Here is a 19,304-nt window from a genome sequence, read left to right as displayed (position 1 = left end):
ACCCGGGAGGCAGAGGTTGCAGTGAGCCAAGATGGCACCACTGCACTCTAGCCTGGGTAACAGAGCAAGACTCCGTCTCGGGAAAAAAAAAAAAAGTTAGGCCAGGCACGGTGGCTCACGCTTATAATCCCAGCACTTTGGGAGCCGAGGCGGGTGAATCACCTGAGGTCGAGAGTTTGAGACTAGCCTAACCAACATGGAGAAACCCCGTCTCTACTAAAAATACAAAAAAATTAGCCAGGTGTGGTGGCACATGCCTGTAATCCCAGCTACTTGGGAGGCTGAGGCAGGAGAATCGTCTGAACCCAGGAAGCGGAGGTTGCAGTGAGCCGAGATCGCACTATTGCACTCCAGCCTCGGCAACAAGCGCGAAACTCTGTCTCACAAAAAAAGAGAAAAAAAGAGTTAATGGAATTAAATGAAATAAATAAAAAGTCCAAATTATATATATTCATAATAGTTGATAGCTGCAATTTGCAGGGGAGGTATACTCATTATCACAACCTGGACAGCATTTAGGTATTGTTTTATGCCTTGTACCGTGTTGCCCCATGGAGTAGATTGAAAAGACCATTGATATGCTCCCAAGATGCTTGTCATCTAAAAAAAAGATCACTGACATTCATGTTGGAAGAAAGCTCATCTTCCATAGGCCTGGTGAGAAAACTAAGCCTAAGCCAGAAGACATGAGGAATTTCTGAAGCTTCAGTTTTGTCACTGGAGTTCTATTCTTTTTTTTTTTTTTTTTGAGACAGGGACTCTCTTTGTCACCCAGGCTAGAGTGCAGTGGCACAATCTCGGCTCGCCGCAACCTCTGCCTCCCGGCTTCAAGTGATTCTCCAAGTCTCCAAGTCCCAGCTTTCCAAATACCTGGGACTACAGGCATCTGCCACTACACCTGGCTAATTTTTGTATGTTTTAGTAGGGACAGGGTTTCACCATGTTGGCCAGGCTGGTCTCGAACTCCTGACCTCAAGCGATCTGGCTGCCTCACCCTTCCAAAATGCTGGGATTACAGGTGTGAGCCACCACAGGTGGCTTGGAGTTCTATTTTATTTATTTATTTATTTTTACTTTTTTTTTTTTTTTTTGAGACAGAGTCTTGCTCTGTCACCCAGGCTGAAGTGCAGTGGCACAATCTCGGCTCACTGCAACCTCCGCCTCCCGGGTTCATGCCATTCCCCTGCCTAATTTTTTGTATTTTTAGTAGAGACAGGGTTTCATGTGTTAGCTAGGATGGTCTCGATCTCCTGACCTCATGATCCGCCCGCCTCGGCCTCCCAAAGTGCTGGGATTACAGGCGTGAGCCACCACACCTGGCCTATTTTTACTTTTTAAATTTTTTTAGAGACAGGGTCTTGCTCTGTTGCCCAGGCTAGAGAACAGTGGCATGATCATGGCTCACTGCAGCCTTGAACTCCTGGCCTTAAGCAGTCCTCTTACCTCAGCCTGCAGAGTAGCTGGGATTACAGGCATGAGCCGCTTCACCAAATATTTTATTTAAAAATATTTGGGGCCAGGCGCAGTGGCTAGCGCCTGTAACCCCAGCACTTCGGGAGGCCAAGGCGAGCAGATCACATGAAGTCAGGAGTTTGAGACCAACCTGGCCAACATAGTGAAACCCCATCTCTACTAAAAATGCAAAAATTAGCCATGGTAGCATGTGCCTGTAGTCCCAGCTACTTGGGAGGCTGAGGCAGGAGAATTGCTTAAACCCGTGAGGCAGAGGTTGTAGTGAGCCGAGATTGCGCCACTGCACTCCAGCCTGAATGACAGAGCGACATACTGTCTCAAAAAAAAAAAAAAGAAAAAAGTGTTTCTGAAGCAAAAATGACGAATGTCAGTGTATGTTAATTCTGGTTGATTGGATACATTAATATCGCTTTATTCTACTTACTTTTTCTTTTTTTTAAAACTGGCTTCCTAACTTGTGTTTATATTCTACTTACTTTTTCATGTGTACGTTTAAACTTTACAACCCTGAGATTGTTTCCTTTCAGTAGTTTCAGAAGAGCAGAATCCCCATTCAGAATGAGAAGAACCCTTAAGTCCTCGGTCAAATTCTGCTTGAATTCCTGCCAGGGGATCCATTTTCACACTGCTATAAAGATACTCCCTGAGCTGGGTAATTTATAAACGAAGGAGGTTTACTAGACTCACAATTCTGCATGGCTAGGGAGGCCTCAGGAAACTTACAATCATGGTGGAAGGCAAAGGGGAAGCAGGTACATCTTCACAATGGCGGAGCAGGAGAGAGACAGAAAGCAGGGGAAACTGCCACTTTTATTTTATTTTTTATTTTTATTTTTTTTGAGATTGAGTCTCTCTGTGTCACCTAGGGTGGAGTGCAGTGGTGTGATCTCAGCTCACTGCAACCTCTGCCATTTGAGTTCAAGCTATAGCAATTCTCCTGCCTCAGCCTCCTGAGTAGCTGGGACTACAGGCAGGCACCACCACACCAGGCTTTTTTTTTTTTTTTTTTTTTTTGAGACAGAGTTTTGTTCTTGTAACCCAGGCTGGAGTACAATGGTGCGATCTCGGCTCACTACAACCTCCACCTCCCTGGTTCAAGCTATTCTGCCTCAGCCTCCCAGGTAGCTGGGATTACAGGTATGTGCCACCATGCCTGGCGAATTTTTGTATTTTTAGTAGAGACAGGGTTTTGCCATGTTGGTCAGGTTGGGCTCGAACTCCTGACTGCAGGTGATCCGCCCACCTCGGCCTCCTAAAGTGCTGGGATTACGGGCGTGAGCCACTGTGCCCAGCCTAATTTTTGTATTTTTAGTAGAGGTGGGGTTTCGCTGTATTGGCCAGGCTGGTCTCGAACTCCTGACCTCGAGTAATTCACCTGCCTCGGCCTCCCAAAGTGCTGGGATTACAGGCATGAGCCACTGCACCCAGCCAAAACTGCCATTTTAAAACCATCAGATCTCCTGAGAACTCCCTCACTATCATGAGAACAGCATGGGGGAAACAGCCCTCATGATCCAATCACTTCCCACCAAGTCTCTCCCTCTACAAGTGGGAATTACAGTTCGAGATGAGATTTAGGTGGGGACACAGAGCCAAACCATATCAGGATCTTTGAGCCTCTGTTTGGATATCTTGTGTGTTTGGGAGCTCACCGTGGCCTGAGCTACCTGTTCCACTTTCCCTTGTTAGCAGAGCTCTTCCTTACAGTGAGCCCAAGCCCATAGCCCTAGACCTTCCCTGCCTGGTCCCACTTTTGCCCTTGAGGCAACTCAAAGCAGCTCTGCCCCTCTTCTATGTATCAGACCTCCAGTACTGAGAGAAGGCCATCATATCCCCTTCTTCTCCCTTCTGGATCTACCACCCCTAACAAAAATCAGTGAGCACTAGGTACTGAGTAAAGATGGGGAGCACCCCCTTTGGTACCAGGTGACGTGCGATTTGGAGAAAAGGTGATATGCTCCCTTTGGCCATGCAGAGAGAAGACATCAAGAGCCTGTTGCCATACATTGTAGACAGCTTGCGTGAAACCGATGAGAAGATCGTTCTGTCAGCCATCCAGATACTCCTGCAACTTGTTAGAACAATGGATTTCACTACCCTGGCTGCCATGATGAGGACCCTGTTCTCCTTATTTGGTGATGTAAGACAATCAGAGAGGACAGACTTTCCTAGGAGGAGGGTAATGGGCATAACAGCAAACAGAAGTTGGTATAGTAATAAATACACTCTACTTGGTATAGGACTTTTACTTTCAGAGCATTTCAAACCTCCTCTCTTAAGACCCTACTAGGTAACCTGTGATGTTGATAGGGCAGATGTTATTGTTTTTCAGGTTTAACCAAAAAAAAAAAAAACAACTGAACATAGAAACTTGCTAAGGTACTACCCTGCTTTGTGATGGGGAAGGGGAAAACATTGTCTTTCCCTTCAAGAACTATCAGAACTGGGTCAAGATGGTGGATGATACTTATGTCCCTGTCCCAAATGCCATATATTTCTCAAGAGGAAATGCATAGAGCACAATGACCAGCATCCTTGGAAGAGTAAAACATACCAAGGCTGGGATTTCGAATTTCAACAAAGCAGCCTGTGTGAATGGTTCCTGCCTGTACCAGGCACGAGGTTTGCCGACTACAGGTGAGACTATGTGCATCTCTCACTTGTAGGGTGAGAAAACAAGTAGTGCCAAAGCAGCAAGTCTTACTGTGTCCATATATAGAGAGAGAGGGGGAGGGAGACGGAGTCTTGCTCTGTCACCCAGGCTGGAGTGCAGTGGCATGATCTTGGCCTACTGCAACCTCCACCTCCTGGGTTCAAGCGATTCTCCTGCCTCAGCCTCCCGAGTAGCTGGGACTACAGGCATGCGCCACCACGCCCAGCTAATTTTTGTATTTTTAGTGGAGATGGGGTTTCCCCATATTGGCCAGGCTGGTCTTGAACTCCTGACCTCAAGTGATCTGCCTGCCTCAGCCTCCTAAAGTGCTGGGATTACAGGCGTGAGCCACTGCGCCTGGCCTGTGTCCACGTATATTTTATTTCTTGCCTTCAGCTACATACAGCTAAATAGCCTCATTGTCAGGACTGGCTTTTCAACCCCTCCCAGGTTGTTACAAGCTAAGCACGCACACGTTCAGTGAATTGCTTCCCTTTGGCTACTCCCTTCCCAGGTGAGATCTGATGTTCATCGTTTCTCCGTGACTCTCTTTGGAGCCGCCATAAAGTCTGTAAAAAACCCAGATAAGAAGAGTATAGAGAACCAAGTCCTGGACAGCTTGGTCCCACTACTTCTGTATTCTCAGGATGAAAATGATGCAGTAGCTGAGGTAAGGCCTACTGTCGGTGTCTCTCATCCCTCAAACTTCAAATCCAGAGCCAACTCTGCAAAGAAAAGAAGCATTCATATACTCATATAGATAGATACATACATACATACATACATTCATACCTACATACATACATAGACAGACAGACAGACAGACAGACAGATAGATATACATATATATTTTTGAGACAGGGTCTCTGTCGCCCAGGCTGGAGTGCAGTGGTGTGATCTCGGATCACTGCAACCTCCACCTCCTGGGTTCAAGCAACTCTTCTGCCTCAGCCTCCTGAGTAGCTGGGATTACAACTGCCCACTACCATGCCTGGCTAATTTTTGTATTTTTAGTAGAGATGGGGTTTTGCCATGTTGGCCAGGCTGGTCTCGAACTCCTGACCTCAAATCATCTACCTGCTTGGCCTCCCAGAGAGCTGGGATTACAGGCATGAGCCACTGTGCCTGGCCTGACATTTCAATTTTTCGTGATTACAGTTCTGCAATTATTTTACCTGTTTCCTTGTGCACGCATATGAGAGTTTCTTGAGGGCATAAAACCTCAAGTAGAATATCTAGGTATCTTTAACTTTTTATTAGATATTTATAAATCACTAAACACAGTGGCTGAAGTAATTTATATGCCCATCAGTAGCCAAAGGAATTTTTATGGCCCAAACATCTAGTGGACCTGAGATAAAATACTGGCTTGGAGATTCATCAGAGGTGTTGCATGGTGTATGGGTGGCATTCTGAGAACAATGAACTAGAAAAGAGACCCACTTGCTAAATTTTGCTCAAGGATGTGGATCAGGAAGAGATCAGTCCTCTAGAGTTCCTTCCTTCCAACCCAGAGATGCCACAAGGACAGAAGTCAGGGGCTACACTTCCTTTGTAGAGTGACAGAAAAATGGCATAGGAACAGTAAGTGGAGGTGGGAGCTTCATCTCTAGGGCACAGGGTAATGGGAATTCCTGCCCAAACCTCTGGTCTAGGGATTACATCTGCAAGCTGTCACTTTTGCCCAACACCAGTGGTTTCTACATCCTCCCCAGAACCCTAGGGTTTTTGTGGATTCCACGTAAGGACTATTTGGAGAAGTTGGAGGAGGAGGGCAGGATTCTAGTTCCTTTCCGCTCTTCTGCTCTCTTTTATCAGTTTTTCATATTGTACTTTAGTACTAGTTTTATTGAAGAAAGATTACCTCTGTTTAAAAATGAGGCTGGGCACGGTGGTTCACGCCTGTAATCCCAGCACTTTGGGAGGCCAGGGTGGATGGATCACCCGAGGCCAGGAGTTCAAGACCAGCCTGGCCAACATGGCAAAACCCTGTCTCTACTAAAAATACAAAAATTAACCGGGCATGGTGGTGGGCGCCTATAATCCCAGCTACTCAGGAGGCTGAGGGAAGAGAATTGCTTGAACCCGGGAGGTGGAGGTCGCAGTGAGCCAAGATGGCACTGCTGTAGTCCAGCCTGAGCGACAGCATGAGATTCCAGCTCAAAAAAATAAAAATGTTTGAAAATGCTGATCTATGGTCATCTTTTTCACAGGAGAGCAGGCAAGTCCTAACTATATGTGCCCAGTTCCTGAAGTGGAAGCTGCCCCAAGAAGTGTACTCCAAAGATCCCTGGCACATCAAACCTACTGAAGCAGGAACAATCTGCAGATTCTTTGTATGTGAGCAATAATGGCTTTGTTAACTCTTCAACATACTGAGAGACCTATTTTCTTCTGACACACTATTTAATGACAGAACATGGCATGCAAGAAACATTTCCCATTTCTTTTCACATCAGCAGTTGATATCTATGACCTGTTTTTTATTGTGGATTTATGTTTCTATAGTTCCCTCCCAACTGAGTCACAAAGTTAGTTTCGATTGCCACTCTTAGTCATGAAAAGACTGGTGGACTCTTAGGAGCCCTTCTAACATGGGTCAGAGGCTACAAGGTCAGGTTGATGCTGAAAAAGTTACTTATGGACTGAATTGAAATGGAGTTATATATTGCTTTTATAACTATCTTGAATCCTTTCCTTGACTAGAACGGATTGTTTTACTGTCCATCAGAGCATGTCCAGGGAGTCCCAAGCAAGGGCTGCCATGCTGTGTGGCCATGCAGCATGATGGCAGCATGCCACTGGTTCTGCCAGGACCCAGGTGGTATCATTTCTCTTCACGAACTCCACAGAGGCTACTGTGTCTGATCTCAGGGTCAAGCTTGAGCCTGGGCTGCCTCAGGAAGCCCATCCATGGTTTTCTAGAAGCTGACCCTAGAACCACCTAGCAGACCCTAGGACTGACTATTCCCAGGAGTCTTCCATATGTATCACCTCTTTAGGACCCACAGAAGCTTTCTGTGATCGGACTTGCAGTGCCCTTGTGTCGGGGTTTCCATTAGGGATTATCTGTCTGATCTGCACCCAAACCTATAGCTGATACACTGATGACAGTATTTACAGAAGGAAATTTGGTGCTGTCAACTACAAGTTGTCCATGTTAATTAAGCCATAAGTTCTATCAAAATAAATTCCTATTTTCCCCCTCCTTTTTTTTTTTTTTTTGAGACAGAGTCTCAGTTGCCCAGGCCTCAGCCTCCCAAGTAGCTGGGATTACAGGCTTACACCACCATGTCTGGCTAAGTTTTGTATTTTTTAGCAGAGCTGGGGTTTTGCCATGTTGGCCAGGCTGTTCTGGAACTCCTGACCTCAGGTGATCCACTCAGCTCAACCTCCCAAAGTGTTGGGATTACAAGCATGAGCCACCATGCCCAGCCTCCCCCTCCTATTCTTGAGGTGCCTATCCTTATAAAAGATCCACTGAGAGGTGCCTTCCTTCACCCAAAAGCCATAACAGGCCATAGAGAACCCAAGGATTAAAACTTCCTGAGGGGGCTGGGCGTGGTGGCTCACGCCTGTAATCCTAGCACTTTGGGAGGCCGAGGCGGGTGGATCACAAGGTCAGGAGTTCGAGACCAGCCTGGCCAATATGGTGAAACCCCGTCTCTACCAAAAATACAAAAAAAAAATTAGCTGGGCTTGGGGGCAGGAACCTATAGTCCCAGCTACTTGGGAGGCTGAGGCAGGAGAATTGCTTGAACCCAGGAGGTGAGGGTTGCAGTGAGCCAAGACCGCGCCACTGCACTCCAGCCTGGGCGACAGAGCAAGGCTCCTTCTGAAAAAACAAAAACAAAAACAAACTTCCTGAGGGGAGCCTGCAAGCTAGCAAAGGAGATAAAACCTCGATGTAAAAAAGTGCGTGCCGGGAGAGGAGTACCTGCAAAATGCTCAGAGCAGGGTTAGGTCAGGCAGGCAAGCAGTCAAGGACAAGCTCATAGGGAGGCAGAACTCAAGGTGGAACTTAAAGAACAAAGACTTAGATACAGAGAAGCCAAGATGGCTTTAGAAACATTACAGGCACAATATATGGCATGAGTGGGTACAAGCAAGGGGCATTCACAGGATTTAGAATAACTTGGTCTAGGGGCTTGTTATTCTGGTATAATACTCATTCAGCAACTGTAGTTATTTCAAACACTACTGTACTCTCTCTGATAGAGTCTCTGACCCCAGAAACTGTGGTAAGGCTGATCAATAGAGTGCTGCTGCTTCACTGCTTTATACTTACTTTTTTCCACACTTAGGAAAAAAAGTGCAAGGGGAAAATTAACATCCTAGAACAAACACTGATGTACTCCAAGAACCCAAAACTTCCCATCAGAAGATCAGCAGTCTTGTTTGTAGGTACAAAGAAAGTCCTTTCATTCCTACAGTCACTTTTGTCCTGTACTTTCCCAAATTATGTTGTCAAGCATCCCTTCTTTTTTTCTTTTTTGAGACGGAGTCTCGCTGTGTCACCCAGGCTGGAGTACAGTGGCGCCATCTCGGCTCACTGCAAGCTCCACCTCCCGGGTTCATGCCATTTTCCTGCCTCAGCCTCCCGAGTAGCTGGGACTACAGGCGCTCACCATCACGCCCGGCTAAATTTTTTTGTATTTTTAGTAGAGACAGGGTTTCACCGTGTTAGCCAGGATGGTCTCGATTTCCTGACCTCGTGATCTGCCCGCCTCGGCCTCCCAAAGTGCTGGGATTACAGGCGTGAGCCACGGTGCCTGGCCCTCTGTCTTTGTTTTGTTTTGTTTTGTTTTGTTTTGTTTTTGAAACTGAGTTTCACTCTTGCTGCCCAGGCTGGAGTGCAGTGGCACGATCTCAGCTCACTGCCACCTCCACCTTCTGGGTTCAAGTGATTGTCCTGCCTCAGCCTCCTGAGTAGCTGGGATTACAGGTGCCTGCCACCACACCTGGCTAATTTTTCTTTTTTTTTTTTTTTTTGAGAGAAGTCTCGCTCTTGTCCCCCAGATTTGAATGCAATGGCTTGATCTCAGCTCACTGCAACCTCTGCCTCCCGGGTTGAGATTCTCCTGCCTCTGCCTCCCAAGTGGCTGGGATTAAGTCGCCTGCCACCACACCCTGCTAATTTTTATATTTTTTAGTAGAGATGGGGTTTCACCATGTTGGCCAGGCTGGTCTTGAACTCCTGACCTCAGGTGATCCGCCCGCCTCGGCCTCCCAAAGTGCTGGGATTACAGGCGTGAGCCATCGCGCCTGGCCTAATTTTTGTATTTTTAGTAATGATGGGGTTTCACCATGTCGGCCAGGCTAGTCTTGAACTCCTGACCTCAGGTGATCCACCCACCTCAGCCACCAAAATTGCTGGGATTACAAGCGTAAGCCACCGCGCCCAGTCAGTATCCCCATTTTTATGTATGTATGGTGTGGGGGTTTTATGTGTGTAGGCGGGGGTGGTGATTTGAGACAAGGTCTCACTTCGTTGCCCAAGTTGAAGCACAGTGGCACCACCATGGCTTGCTGCAGCCTCAACATCCTGGGCTCAAGCAATCCTCCTACCTCCCTCAGCCTCTTGAGTATCTGGGACTATAGGCATGTGCCACCATGCCCAGCCAATTTTTTTTTTTTTAAGAGACAAGGTCTTGCTATATTGCCCAGGGTGGTCTTAAACTCCTGGGCTCAAGCAGTCTTCCTGCCTCAGCCTCCCAAAGTGCTGGGATTACAGGCATTAGTCACTGTACCCGGCTGTGAGTCACTGCACCCGGCCAAGTATCCCCATTCTTTATGAAGATGACCTTGGAAGAAGGGGCCCTGTTACCTATAGGTAACTACCAGGCACCTGGAAGCCCAGTTTTTGGAATCTGCCTAATTATCAGAAGGCCGATTCTGCCGGCTGCTTAGATGTCTTAATGATAAAAACTTTTAGATATTCATTTCCAAGAGCAAAAGCCAGATCACAGACTCACTGACTTTATCCTGCCTTTAGGCCTTTTATCGAAGTACATGGATCACAATGAGCTCAGGAGGATGGGTACTGACTGGATAGAGGACGGTAAGTGATAACAGTCCTTGAATTTGGGGTGTACCCATATTTTGGAAGGTATCCGAGGCAGCCAGTGTGGGAAGGCTTTATAGCAGAGCTGAGACCCTGAGCTCTAGAAAACCTGGTTTTTGTAGCAGGAATCCTGTTGGTGATTTCAGCTGAATGACAGTCCCATCCCAGTCCAGTTTCCCCTTTAGGAAAGGACATCACCCTATTTGTCTGGAAGCTAGCTTTGATGAGTCTCAGAGACAGTTCCTGAGCCTTGTCTGTCAGCAAATAAGACATTACCTAGAAATACTATCTTAGTAAATTATGATGATTCCTCATAAGTACCACAGAGATGACTGCAGTACTATTTTCTATAAGCCGTTGTCCTGTAACTTAGGTAGGACTTGGTAATAGAGATGTTTTATAGTCACATTTTTCTTTAATTTTTTTTCTTTAATGTTTTTCTTTCAAATCTCCTATTCTGAGAAACAGGCATTCTTTTTTTTTTTTTTTTTTTCTTTCGAGATGGAGTCTTGCACTGTCGCACAGTCTGGAGTGCAGTGGCCTGATAATGGGTCACTGCAACCTCCACCTCCCGGGTTCAAGTGATTCTCCTGCCTCAGCCTCCCGAGTAGCTGGGATTACAGGCACGCACCACCACGCCCTGCTAATTTTTGTATTTTTAGTAGAGACGGGGTTTCACCATGTTGGTCAGGCTGGTCTCAAACTCTTGGCCTCAGGTGATCCACCCACCTCGGCCTCCCAAAGGGCTGGGATTACAGGCATGAGTCACCACGCCCAGCCAAAACAGGCATTCTTTATTCCCACTAAGAAGTAGTCCTACCATTAGAAAATGCCATATGATGCTGTCTTACAATCCAAAATTATTACTTGCAGAATCTAATCAAAATCCTAGTAATTCATTACTTATAAAATAAAAACATAACTGGTGAAACAGCTAGGAGCTAAAGCTTATTTAAGAAAGATCATGCCACTTTTCTCTAAGGTCTCCCACTTCCTCACAGATATCAGAAGCCAAAGAAAGGAGGCTGGGTGCAATGGCTCACACCTGTAATTCCAGCACTTAGGGAGGCCGAGGTGGGAGGATTACTTGAGCCCAGGAGTTCAAGACCAGCCTGGGCAACACAGTGAGACCTCATCTCTCCATATGTTTGTATGTGTGTGTGTGTGTGTATATATATATATATATTTTGAGATGGAGTCTTGCTCGGTCGCCCAGGGTGGAATGCAGTGGTGTGATCTCAGCTCACTGCAGCCTCCGCCTCCTGGTTTCAAGCGATTCTCGTGCCTCGGTCTCCCAAGTAGCTGGGATTACAGGTGCCCGCCACCACGCCTGGCTAATTTTTGTATTTTTAGTAGAGACGGGTTTCACCATGCTGGCCAGGCTGTTCTCGAACTCCATACCTCAGGTGATCCACCCACCTCAGCCTCCCAAAGTGCCAGGATTACAGGCATGAGCCACCGCACCTGGCCTCTATTTAAAAAAAAAAAAAAAAAAAAAAATTAGTGGGTATGGTGGTGTGCGCCTGTGGTTCTAGCTACTCAGGAGGCCGAGGTGGGAACATCGTTTGAGCCCAGGAGGTCAAGGCTTCAGTGAGCCGAGATTGCACCACTGCACTCCAGCCTGGGTGACAGAGTAAGACTCCATCAAAAAACAAAAAAAAAAAGAAAGAAAAGGAAGGAAGGAAGGAAAGAAAGAAGAAAAGAAAAGAAAGTAAGAAAGAAGCCATGTGGATTATTCCAAGGGATAGGATTCTATATGGCTGATTCTGTTCAAATAAAAAGAAATTATTTTCTAATCTAAATGGGGGATGAAACTTCCTTTTCCATTCAAAAGTTATCTATATGAAAAATCTAGAAAATATATATAATTATGTGCATATAGATTAGAATGAACCATATGTGATTGACATTTCATGTTCTGTGGACCATGGCCGGGTGCGTGGCTCACGCTTGTAATCCCAGCACTTTGGGAGGCCGAGGCAGGTGGATCACCTTAGGTCAGAAGTTCAAGACCAGCCTGGCTAACATGGTGAAATCCCGTCTCTACTAAAAATACAAAATTAGCCAGGTGTGATGGCGCATGCCTGTAGTCCCAGCTACTCGGGAGGCAGAAGCAGGAGAATCACATGAACCTGGGAGGCGGAGGTTGCAGTGAGCCGAGATGCGACAGGGCGAGCCTTCATCTCAAAAAGTAATAACTAACTAACTAAATAAATAAATAAATAAATAAATGTTCTGTGAAACATGTAGACAGACCTCAATGCAGGAAGTGAAGGAAACTACAAACTAGTGAAATGTTACATTTTGCAAGCAAACAAGATGAATTTAAAGGCAAAACACTGCTTAATAAATATAAAGCTCCAAATTATGAAGAGGTCTTGAGCGTTTTTGAGACCTTGGAGAATTATACATAAAAAAGAGAACCTGGCCCGGCACAGTGGCTCATGCCTGTACTCCCAGCACTTTGGAAGGCTGAGAGGGTAGATCACCTGAGGCCAGGAGTTCAAGACCAGCCTGGCCAACATGGCGAAACCCCGTCTCTACTAAAAATACAAAAATTAGCTGGGCATATTGGCACACACCTGTAATCCCAGCTACTCAGGAGGCTGAGACACGAGAATTGCTTGAACCTGGGAGGCAGAGGTTGCAGTGAGCCAAGAACGTGACATTGCACTCCAGCCTGAGCAACAGAGCAAGACTCTGTCTCAAAAAAATAAATTAATTAATAAAATAAAATAAAAAAGAGAACCTTTTCTAAGTATGATACTAAAGGCATATCCATAAAATAAAAGAATGGTAGATTTGTCTACATAAAAATTTAAAAACCAACTTTGAAAAAGAGAGAAATAGTTAAAAGTGAAATGCAAACAATAATATGAAGGGAAATATTTGCAACATGATAAAGGGTTAACACCCTTAAATCAAATTAGAAACCCTCAAAAGAAAACTGGCAAACAATATGAATAAGAGGTTCATAGAATAATTACAAATCGCCAATAAATAGATGAAAGATATTTGATATTACTAGTAATCAGAGGTTTACAAAATAAATCATGATGAGATGACAGTATGCGTTTTTCTGTCGAAATGGCAAAGATTACCAATTAATAAACTTTGGGCCGGGCACAATGGCTCATGCCTGTAATCCCAGCAGTTTGGGAGGCCCAGGTGGGTGGATTACCTGAGGTCAGGAGTTTGAGACCAACCTGACCAATACGGTGCAACCCCGTCTCTATTAAAAATACAAAAATTAGCCAGGTGTGATTCAAGGAGAATTGCTTGAACCCGGGAGGCAGAGGTTGCAGTGAGCCGAGATTGCGCCACTGTACTCCAGCCTGGCTGAGTGACAGAGTGAGACTTCGTCTCAAAAAAAAAAAAAAGAAAAAGAAAAAGAAATTCTCCTGCCTCCGCCTCCTGAGTAGCTGGGATTACAGGCACCATGTCCGGCTATTTTTTGTATTTTTAGTAGAGGCGGGGTTTCACCATGTTGGTCAGGCTGGTCTCGAACTCCTGACCTTGTGATCTGCCCGCCTCAGCCTCCCAAAGTCCTGGGATTACAGGCGTAAGCCACCGTGCCCAGCCTGACTTATCAATTCTTGTTTAGGAATTTAATCTATGAAAATAAGCAGAAATAGTTACAGGAATGTCCATTTATTGTTATTTAGAATAACAAAAGTGGGAAATAATCTAGATTGGAAACAATAGATAATTAAAGAAATTATAGCATATTCATATTGTAGAATTATATACAGGTTGAGCATCCCTAATCAAAAAAATCCAAAATCTGAAATGTTCTCCAACCCGAAACTTCTTGAGTGTTAACGTGACACCACAATGGGAAAATTCCATACCTGACCTACCTCATAAGACAAAACACAATCAAGCCAGTTGTGGTGGCTCACGCCTGTAATCCTAGCACTTTGGGAGGCCAAGGCAGGCGGATCACCTGAGGTCAGGAATTCAAGACCAGCCTGGCCAACATGGTGAAGCCCTGTCTCTACTAAAAATACAAAAATTAGCCAGGCGTAGTGGCGCGCACCTGTAATCCCAGCTACTCAGGAGCCTGAGGCAGGAGAATCGCTTGAACCCGGGAGACGGAGGTTGCAGTGAGCCAAGATCTGTCACTCTGGGTGACAGAGTGAGACTCTGTTTAAAACACGCACACGCGCACACACGTGCACACACACACACACACACACACACACAGTCAAAAAACTTTGTTTCATGCACAAAACTATTTAAAATATTGTATAAAATTACCTTCAGGCTATATGTATAAGGTGTATATGAAACATAAATGAATTTTGTGTTTAGACTTCAGTCCCATCCCCAAAATATCTCATTATGTATATGCAAGTCTTCCAAAATCCAAAATGGTCTAATTTCCAAAACACTTCTGCTCCCAAACATTTTGGATACGGGATCCTCAACCTGAATAGCCAAGAAACATATTATAGAATAATTTTTATTTTATTTATTTATTTATTTATTTAGAAACAGGATCTCACTCTGTTGCCCAGGCTGGAATGCAGTGGCATGATCTCAGTTCATTGCAACCTCCACCTCCTAGGCTGAAGGGATCCTCCCACCTCAGTCTCCCAAGTAGCTGGGACTACAGGCATAAGCCACCACGCCTGGCTAATGTTTTATTTTTTGATATTTTGTAGGCATAGGGTTTTGCCATGTTGCCCAGGCTGGTTTTGAACTCCTAGGCTCAAATGATCCACCTCCCTCGTCTTCCCAAAGTGCTGCAACTACAGGCATGAGCTAGTGCGCCTGGCCTAGAATAATTTTTAAGTGACTCAGATAAATGATGATGTGGTATCATTAAATAAAACCAGCATTTGCAATTCCTCGGTCATATGGTTCCATTTGGACAAAAAATAAAAGCATATATATGTAAATATAAATGTATGGAAAGAAGACCAGAAAGATATATATTGAAAATAACAATAGTTATCGCTAGATGTTAGGATTATGGGTGACTTTTCTTCTTGTGCTTACATGTAATGTCTAAATGTTCTGCACAATGAACATGTATTTCTTTTGCAATAAGAAAACATAAAAACTGCTAGGCACAGTGACTCACACCTGTAATCCCAGCACTTTGGGAGGCCAAGGTGGGTGGATCACTTGAGGTCAGGAGTTGGAGACCAGCCTGGCCAACATGGTGACACTCCATTTCTATTAAAAATACAAAAATTAGCTGTGCGTGGTGGTGGGCACCTTTAATCCCAGCTACTCCGAAGGCTGAGGCAGGACAATCACTTGAACCTGGGACGCGGAGGTTGCAGTGAGTCAAGATCGCATCACTGCACTCCAGCCTGGGCGACAGAAGGAGACTTCATCTCAAAAAAAAAAAAAAAAGAAAGAAAAAGAAAAAGAAAAGAAAGAAAATATTAAAAACTAAAAGTTTTTTTTTTTTAATTAAAAGAAGATAATGATGTAAGAGTTACTTCTAGGACCAACACGGGAACTTAGATGTTAACATTAGACATGGCTTGGGAGGTCCAGATCATTCGACTTTAGAAAGACTACTTGGAATGTGATTATTGCAGAGGAGTGACATGTTTGGCAACTCAGAAACCGGTAGGTTTTGTAGATCAAAATTGGAAACAATTCACTGATATATAAACTTTTAGACAGTTGGACCGTAATCTAAGCTGCTATGGGCATGTAAGCTTTTTGCTATCTAGACCTTCATTCATTTCCACAGATCTCAGGGGCTTTTACCTCCAACCTGTGTTTGCCTACCGCTAGATCTGAGAGACCTGCTGTGTGACCCTGAGCCCTCGCTGTGCATCATCGCTTCCCAGACTCTGTTACTAGTCCAGATGGCGAGGGCCGAACCAAAACCTAAGCAGAGAGTGAACTGGTTGCAGAAGCTCATGGGCAGGTCCTCTGCCTAGAAACACAAGGCAAGCAACATCAGGTAAAAACCAATCCTTTCAGAAGCCACAGAGGCCACTGATGCCAGCCCCACTTTTTTCAGACTTAAAACAATGCCAGCATGAAGCCACCTCTACCCATTTAATTACCTCCAACATGTCTTTTGCTTTCAAAACCTTAAGATATAGAGGAGGGCAGTTCTTAGTTTAAAATTGCAGATATAATTTAAAAATCTATAGAGTTTTTGGCCGGGCATGGTGCCTCATGCCTATAATCCCAGCACTTTGGCGCCAAGGCAGGCAGATCACTTGAGGTCAGGAGTTCGAGACCAGCCTGGCCAACATGATGAAACCCCGTCTCTACTTGAAATACAAAAATTAGCCGGGCATGGTGTCAGGCACCTGTAATCCCAGGTACTTGGGAGGCTGAGGCAGGAGAATCGCTTGAACCCAGGAGGCAGAGGTTGCAATGAGCCAAGGTCGCACCACTGCATTCCAGCCTGGGCGACAGAGTAAGACTCTGTCTCAAAAAAAAAAAAAAAAAGTTCACATCTTTTTTTTTGTTTGTTTTATTTCTTTTAGAGTTAGGGTCTCCCTCTGTCACCCAGGTTCGAGTGCAGTGGCATGATCATAACTCACTAACCTTAAAGTCCTGGCTTCCTGCCTCAGCCTACTAAGTAGCTGGAACTACAGGTACACACAACCGTACCTACTAATGGTATGCCCTTCATGCTGTTCTCTCCATCTCAGAAAATAAAATAGCCCTTAACTGCTACAAACAGTTCTTTGTCAAATGGGAAAGGCAAAACAGAAACAAGAGCTAACATAGGTGATGTTACGATTTGCCTATATCTACATCTTCTGCCTCCATTTAAATAATAAACTGGATTTTCTATTGCACATGCTATCTCACCAAATATCAGCACAATTATTCGCTCTGCAAATAGAGCTATATTTGGAATAGGCAAAATAATACAGTGGAAATATTATGAAGTTTGGAGTGTGCACATCTGGGATCAAATGCCAGCATTATAGCTGACTTTCTGGAAACATTAAAAAAAAATTAATTTCTCATCTGCAGGTTCATGTAAAAAATGGAGATAGCGTTTTCTAACTAAAGGCTTGTTGGAAGGAGTAAATGAAAGAGTGTATGTAAGAGGTATTACACAGATTGAGCACAGAGTACATATTTAGTGATTGTTAATTCCTCTTCCTCCCCCTTGTACTGGACTCACACCAGGGACTGACAGCTAGAGATGAATAAGCTAATTTTTTTTTTATTTTTGTAGAGACAGAATCTTGCTATGTTGTGCGGCAAGCTAGTCTTGAACTCATGGCCTCAAGTCATCCTCCTGTGTCAGCCTCCCAAAGTGCTGGGATTACAAGCATGCACCACGGCACCCAGCAGAATTCCAGTCTTGAGAAACAGGTCAAGGACAGCTTCAAAAGAGATTCTAAATAAATGTTAATGTTACAATGTTAGTATGTCTGCTTAATTGCCAACAATATTAAGAATAAAGTAACTTTTTTTTTTTTTTTGAGATAGTGTCTCACTCATTCACCCAGGCTGGAGTGCAGTGGCACGATGATGGCTCACTGCAACCTCGGCCTCCTGGGCTTAAGTGATCCTCCCCACTGAGCCTCCCAAGTAGCTGGGACTACAGGTGTGCGCCACCATGCCCAGCTAATTTTTTGTATTTTTGGTAAAGATGGAGTTTTGCCATGTTGCCGAGGATAGTCTCAAACTCCTGAGTTTAAGTAATCTGCCCACCTTGGCCTCCCAAGTGCTGGGATTACAGACGTGAGCTACCATGCCTGGCCAACAATCCATTCTTATAGTTTCATATTTAATGATGTATTTTTGTGAAATCCTTTTTGGCCCTGTCTTCTTCCTTTTCCTTTCCCTTAAAAACCTCCAAGCGGCCGGGTGCGGTGGCTCATGCCTATAATCCCAGCACTTTGAGAGGCTGAGGCAGGCAGATCATGAGGTCAGGAGTTTGAGACCAACCTGACCAACATAGTGAAACCCTGTCTCTACTAAAAATGCAAATACCCGGGCATGGTGTCATGTGCCTGTAGTCTCACCTACTCAGGAGGCTGAGGCAGAAGAATCACTTGAACCCAGGAGGTGGAGGTTGCAGTGAGCCGAGATCACACCACTACACTCCAGCCCGGGCAACAGTGCGAGACTCCGTCTGAAAAAAAAGAAAAAGAAAAAACCTCCAAGCAAGAAAAAAACTTCTGAATTGGTGTAATGGTAAATTTATCCCAATATATCCAAGTTTTCCACTCCTTCTCCCTTTTTTCCATTTTCATAATTCCCTCTCCTATAACCGATGTCAGATCCTCAAATGGCTCTAGGATAGGAACTATTATTTGTTGAGTACCCACTGTCTGCTTTAAGCATAAATGGAGAAAAATTTCTTACAAGCAGAAATTTTCTGGGAAAAGAGATTAGTTTGTGTTGGGCAACCACTTTTATAAGCTGCATGTGGAATTGTGGGAGGCCCCCAAGAGGCACACTGGACTAATTTGGACTAATTAGAAATAGTCACCATCAATCTGATTCTCAGGCTCTTGTTTGGTTGAAGAATATACACAGAGAGCCAGAGCTGAGCTATCTAGGGCAATGGAGGGACATCTTGGAGGTGATATGGGAAAGAAGAAAGGAAATGGAAAAACTGGCAGGTGAAGAATGGAAGTATCTAATGGTTAATTGCATTTTTTTTTTTTTTTTTGAGACAGAGTCTCGCTCTGTTGCCCAGGCTAGAGTGCAGTGGCGCAATCTCGGCTTACTGCAGCCTCTGCCTCCCCGGTTCAAGTGATTCTCCTCCTGCCTCAGCCTCCCAAGTAGCTGGGACTACAGGCGAGCATCATCACGCCCAGCTAATTTTTGTATTTTTAGTAGAGACGGGGTTTTGCCATTTTGGCCAGGCTGGCCTCGAACTCCTGGCCTCAAGTGATCTGTCCACCTCAGCCTCCCAAAGTGCTGGGATTACAGGCATGAGCCACCATGCCCGGCCCCCATTACCCCCAATTCTTTGATATCTGGTTCAGGTATTCTTAGCTATTATCTTTTAGTTAGTAATTTGGATGAAATGCTTTACTTTTTTTAAACATTGGGGTTAACAACTACATAAAAAATTGAGTTTGCATTTTTCAAAATTAAAGGAAAAAAAGGTAGCCAAAAGGAATCACAAGTATGACTACGGTAGGGTGAGAAAGG

The 19,304-nt window shown here is 44.8% G+C and overlaps 1 protein-coding gene across 1 annotated transcript in view; it reads left to right on the top strand.

The window, feature by feature from the left end:
* The window catches only part of MROH8 (maestro heat like repeat family member 8), a 78,382-nt gene extending 60,763 nt beyond the window's left edge, over positions 1 to 17,619 (top strand). Inside the window, 7 exon segments of the mRNA NM_152503.8 lie at positions 3,449 to 3,613; positions 4,641 to 4,796; positions 6,340 to 6,462; positions 8,431 to 8,530; positions 10,122 to 10,187; positions 15,951 to 16,122; positions 17,368 to 17,619. Coding sequence (NP_689716.4) covers positions 3,449 to 3,613; positions 4,641 to 4,796; positions 6,340 to 6,462; positions 8,431 to 8,530; positions 10,122 to 10,187; positions 15,951 to 16,099 — 759 coding nt within the window. The 3' untranslated portion in view covers positions 16,100 to 16,122; positions 17,368 to 17,619.

Source organism: Homo sapiens, chromosome 20 (genome assembly GCF_000001405.40).
Source record: "Homo sapiens chromosome 20, GRCh38.p14 Primary Assembly".
Classification (NCBI taxonomy): Eukaryota; Metazoa; Chordata; class Mammalia; order Primates; family Hominidae; genus Homo; species Homo sapiens.
The sequence above is the reverse complement of the archived record's forward strand: the minus strand, read 5'-3'. Positions and strand labels throughout refer to the sequence as shown.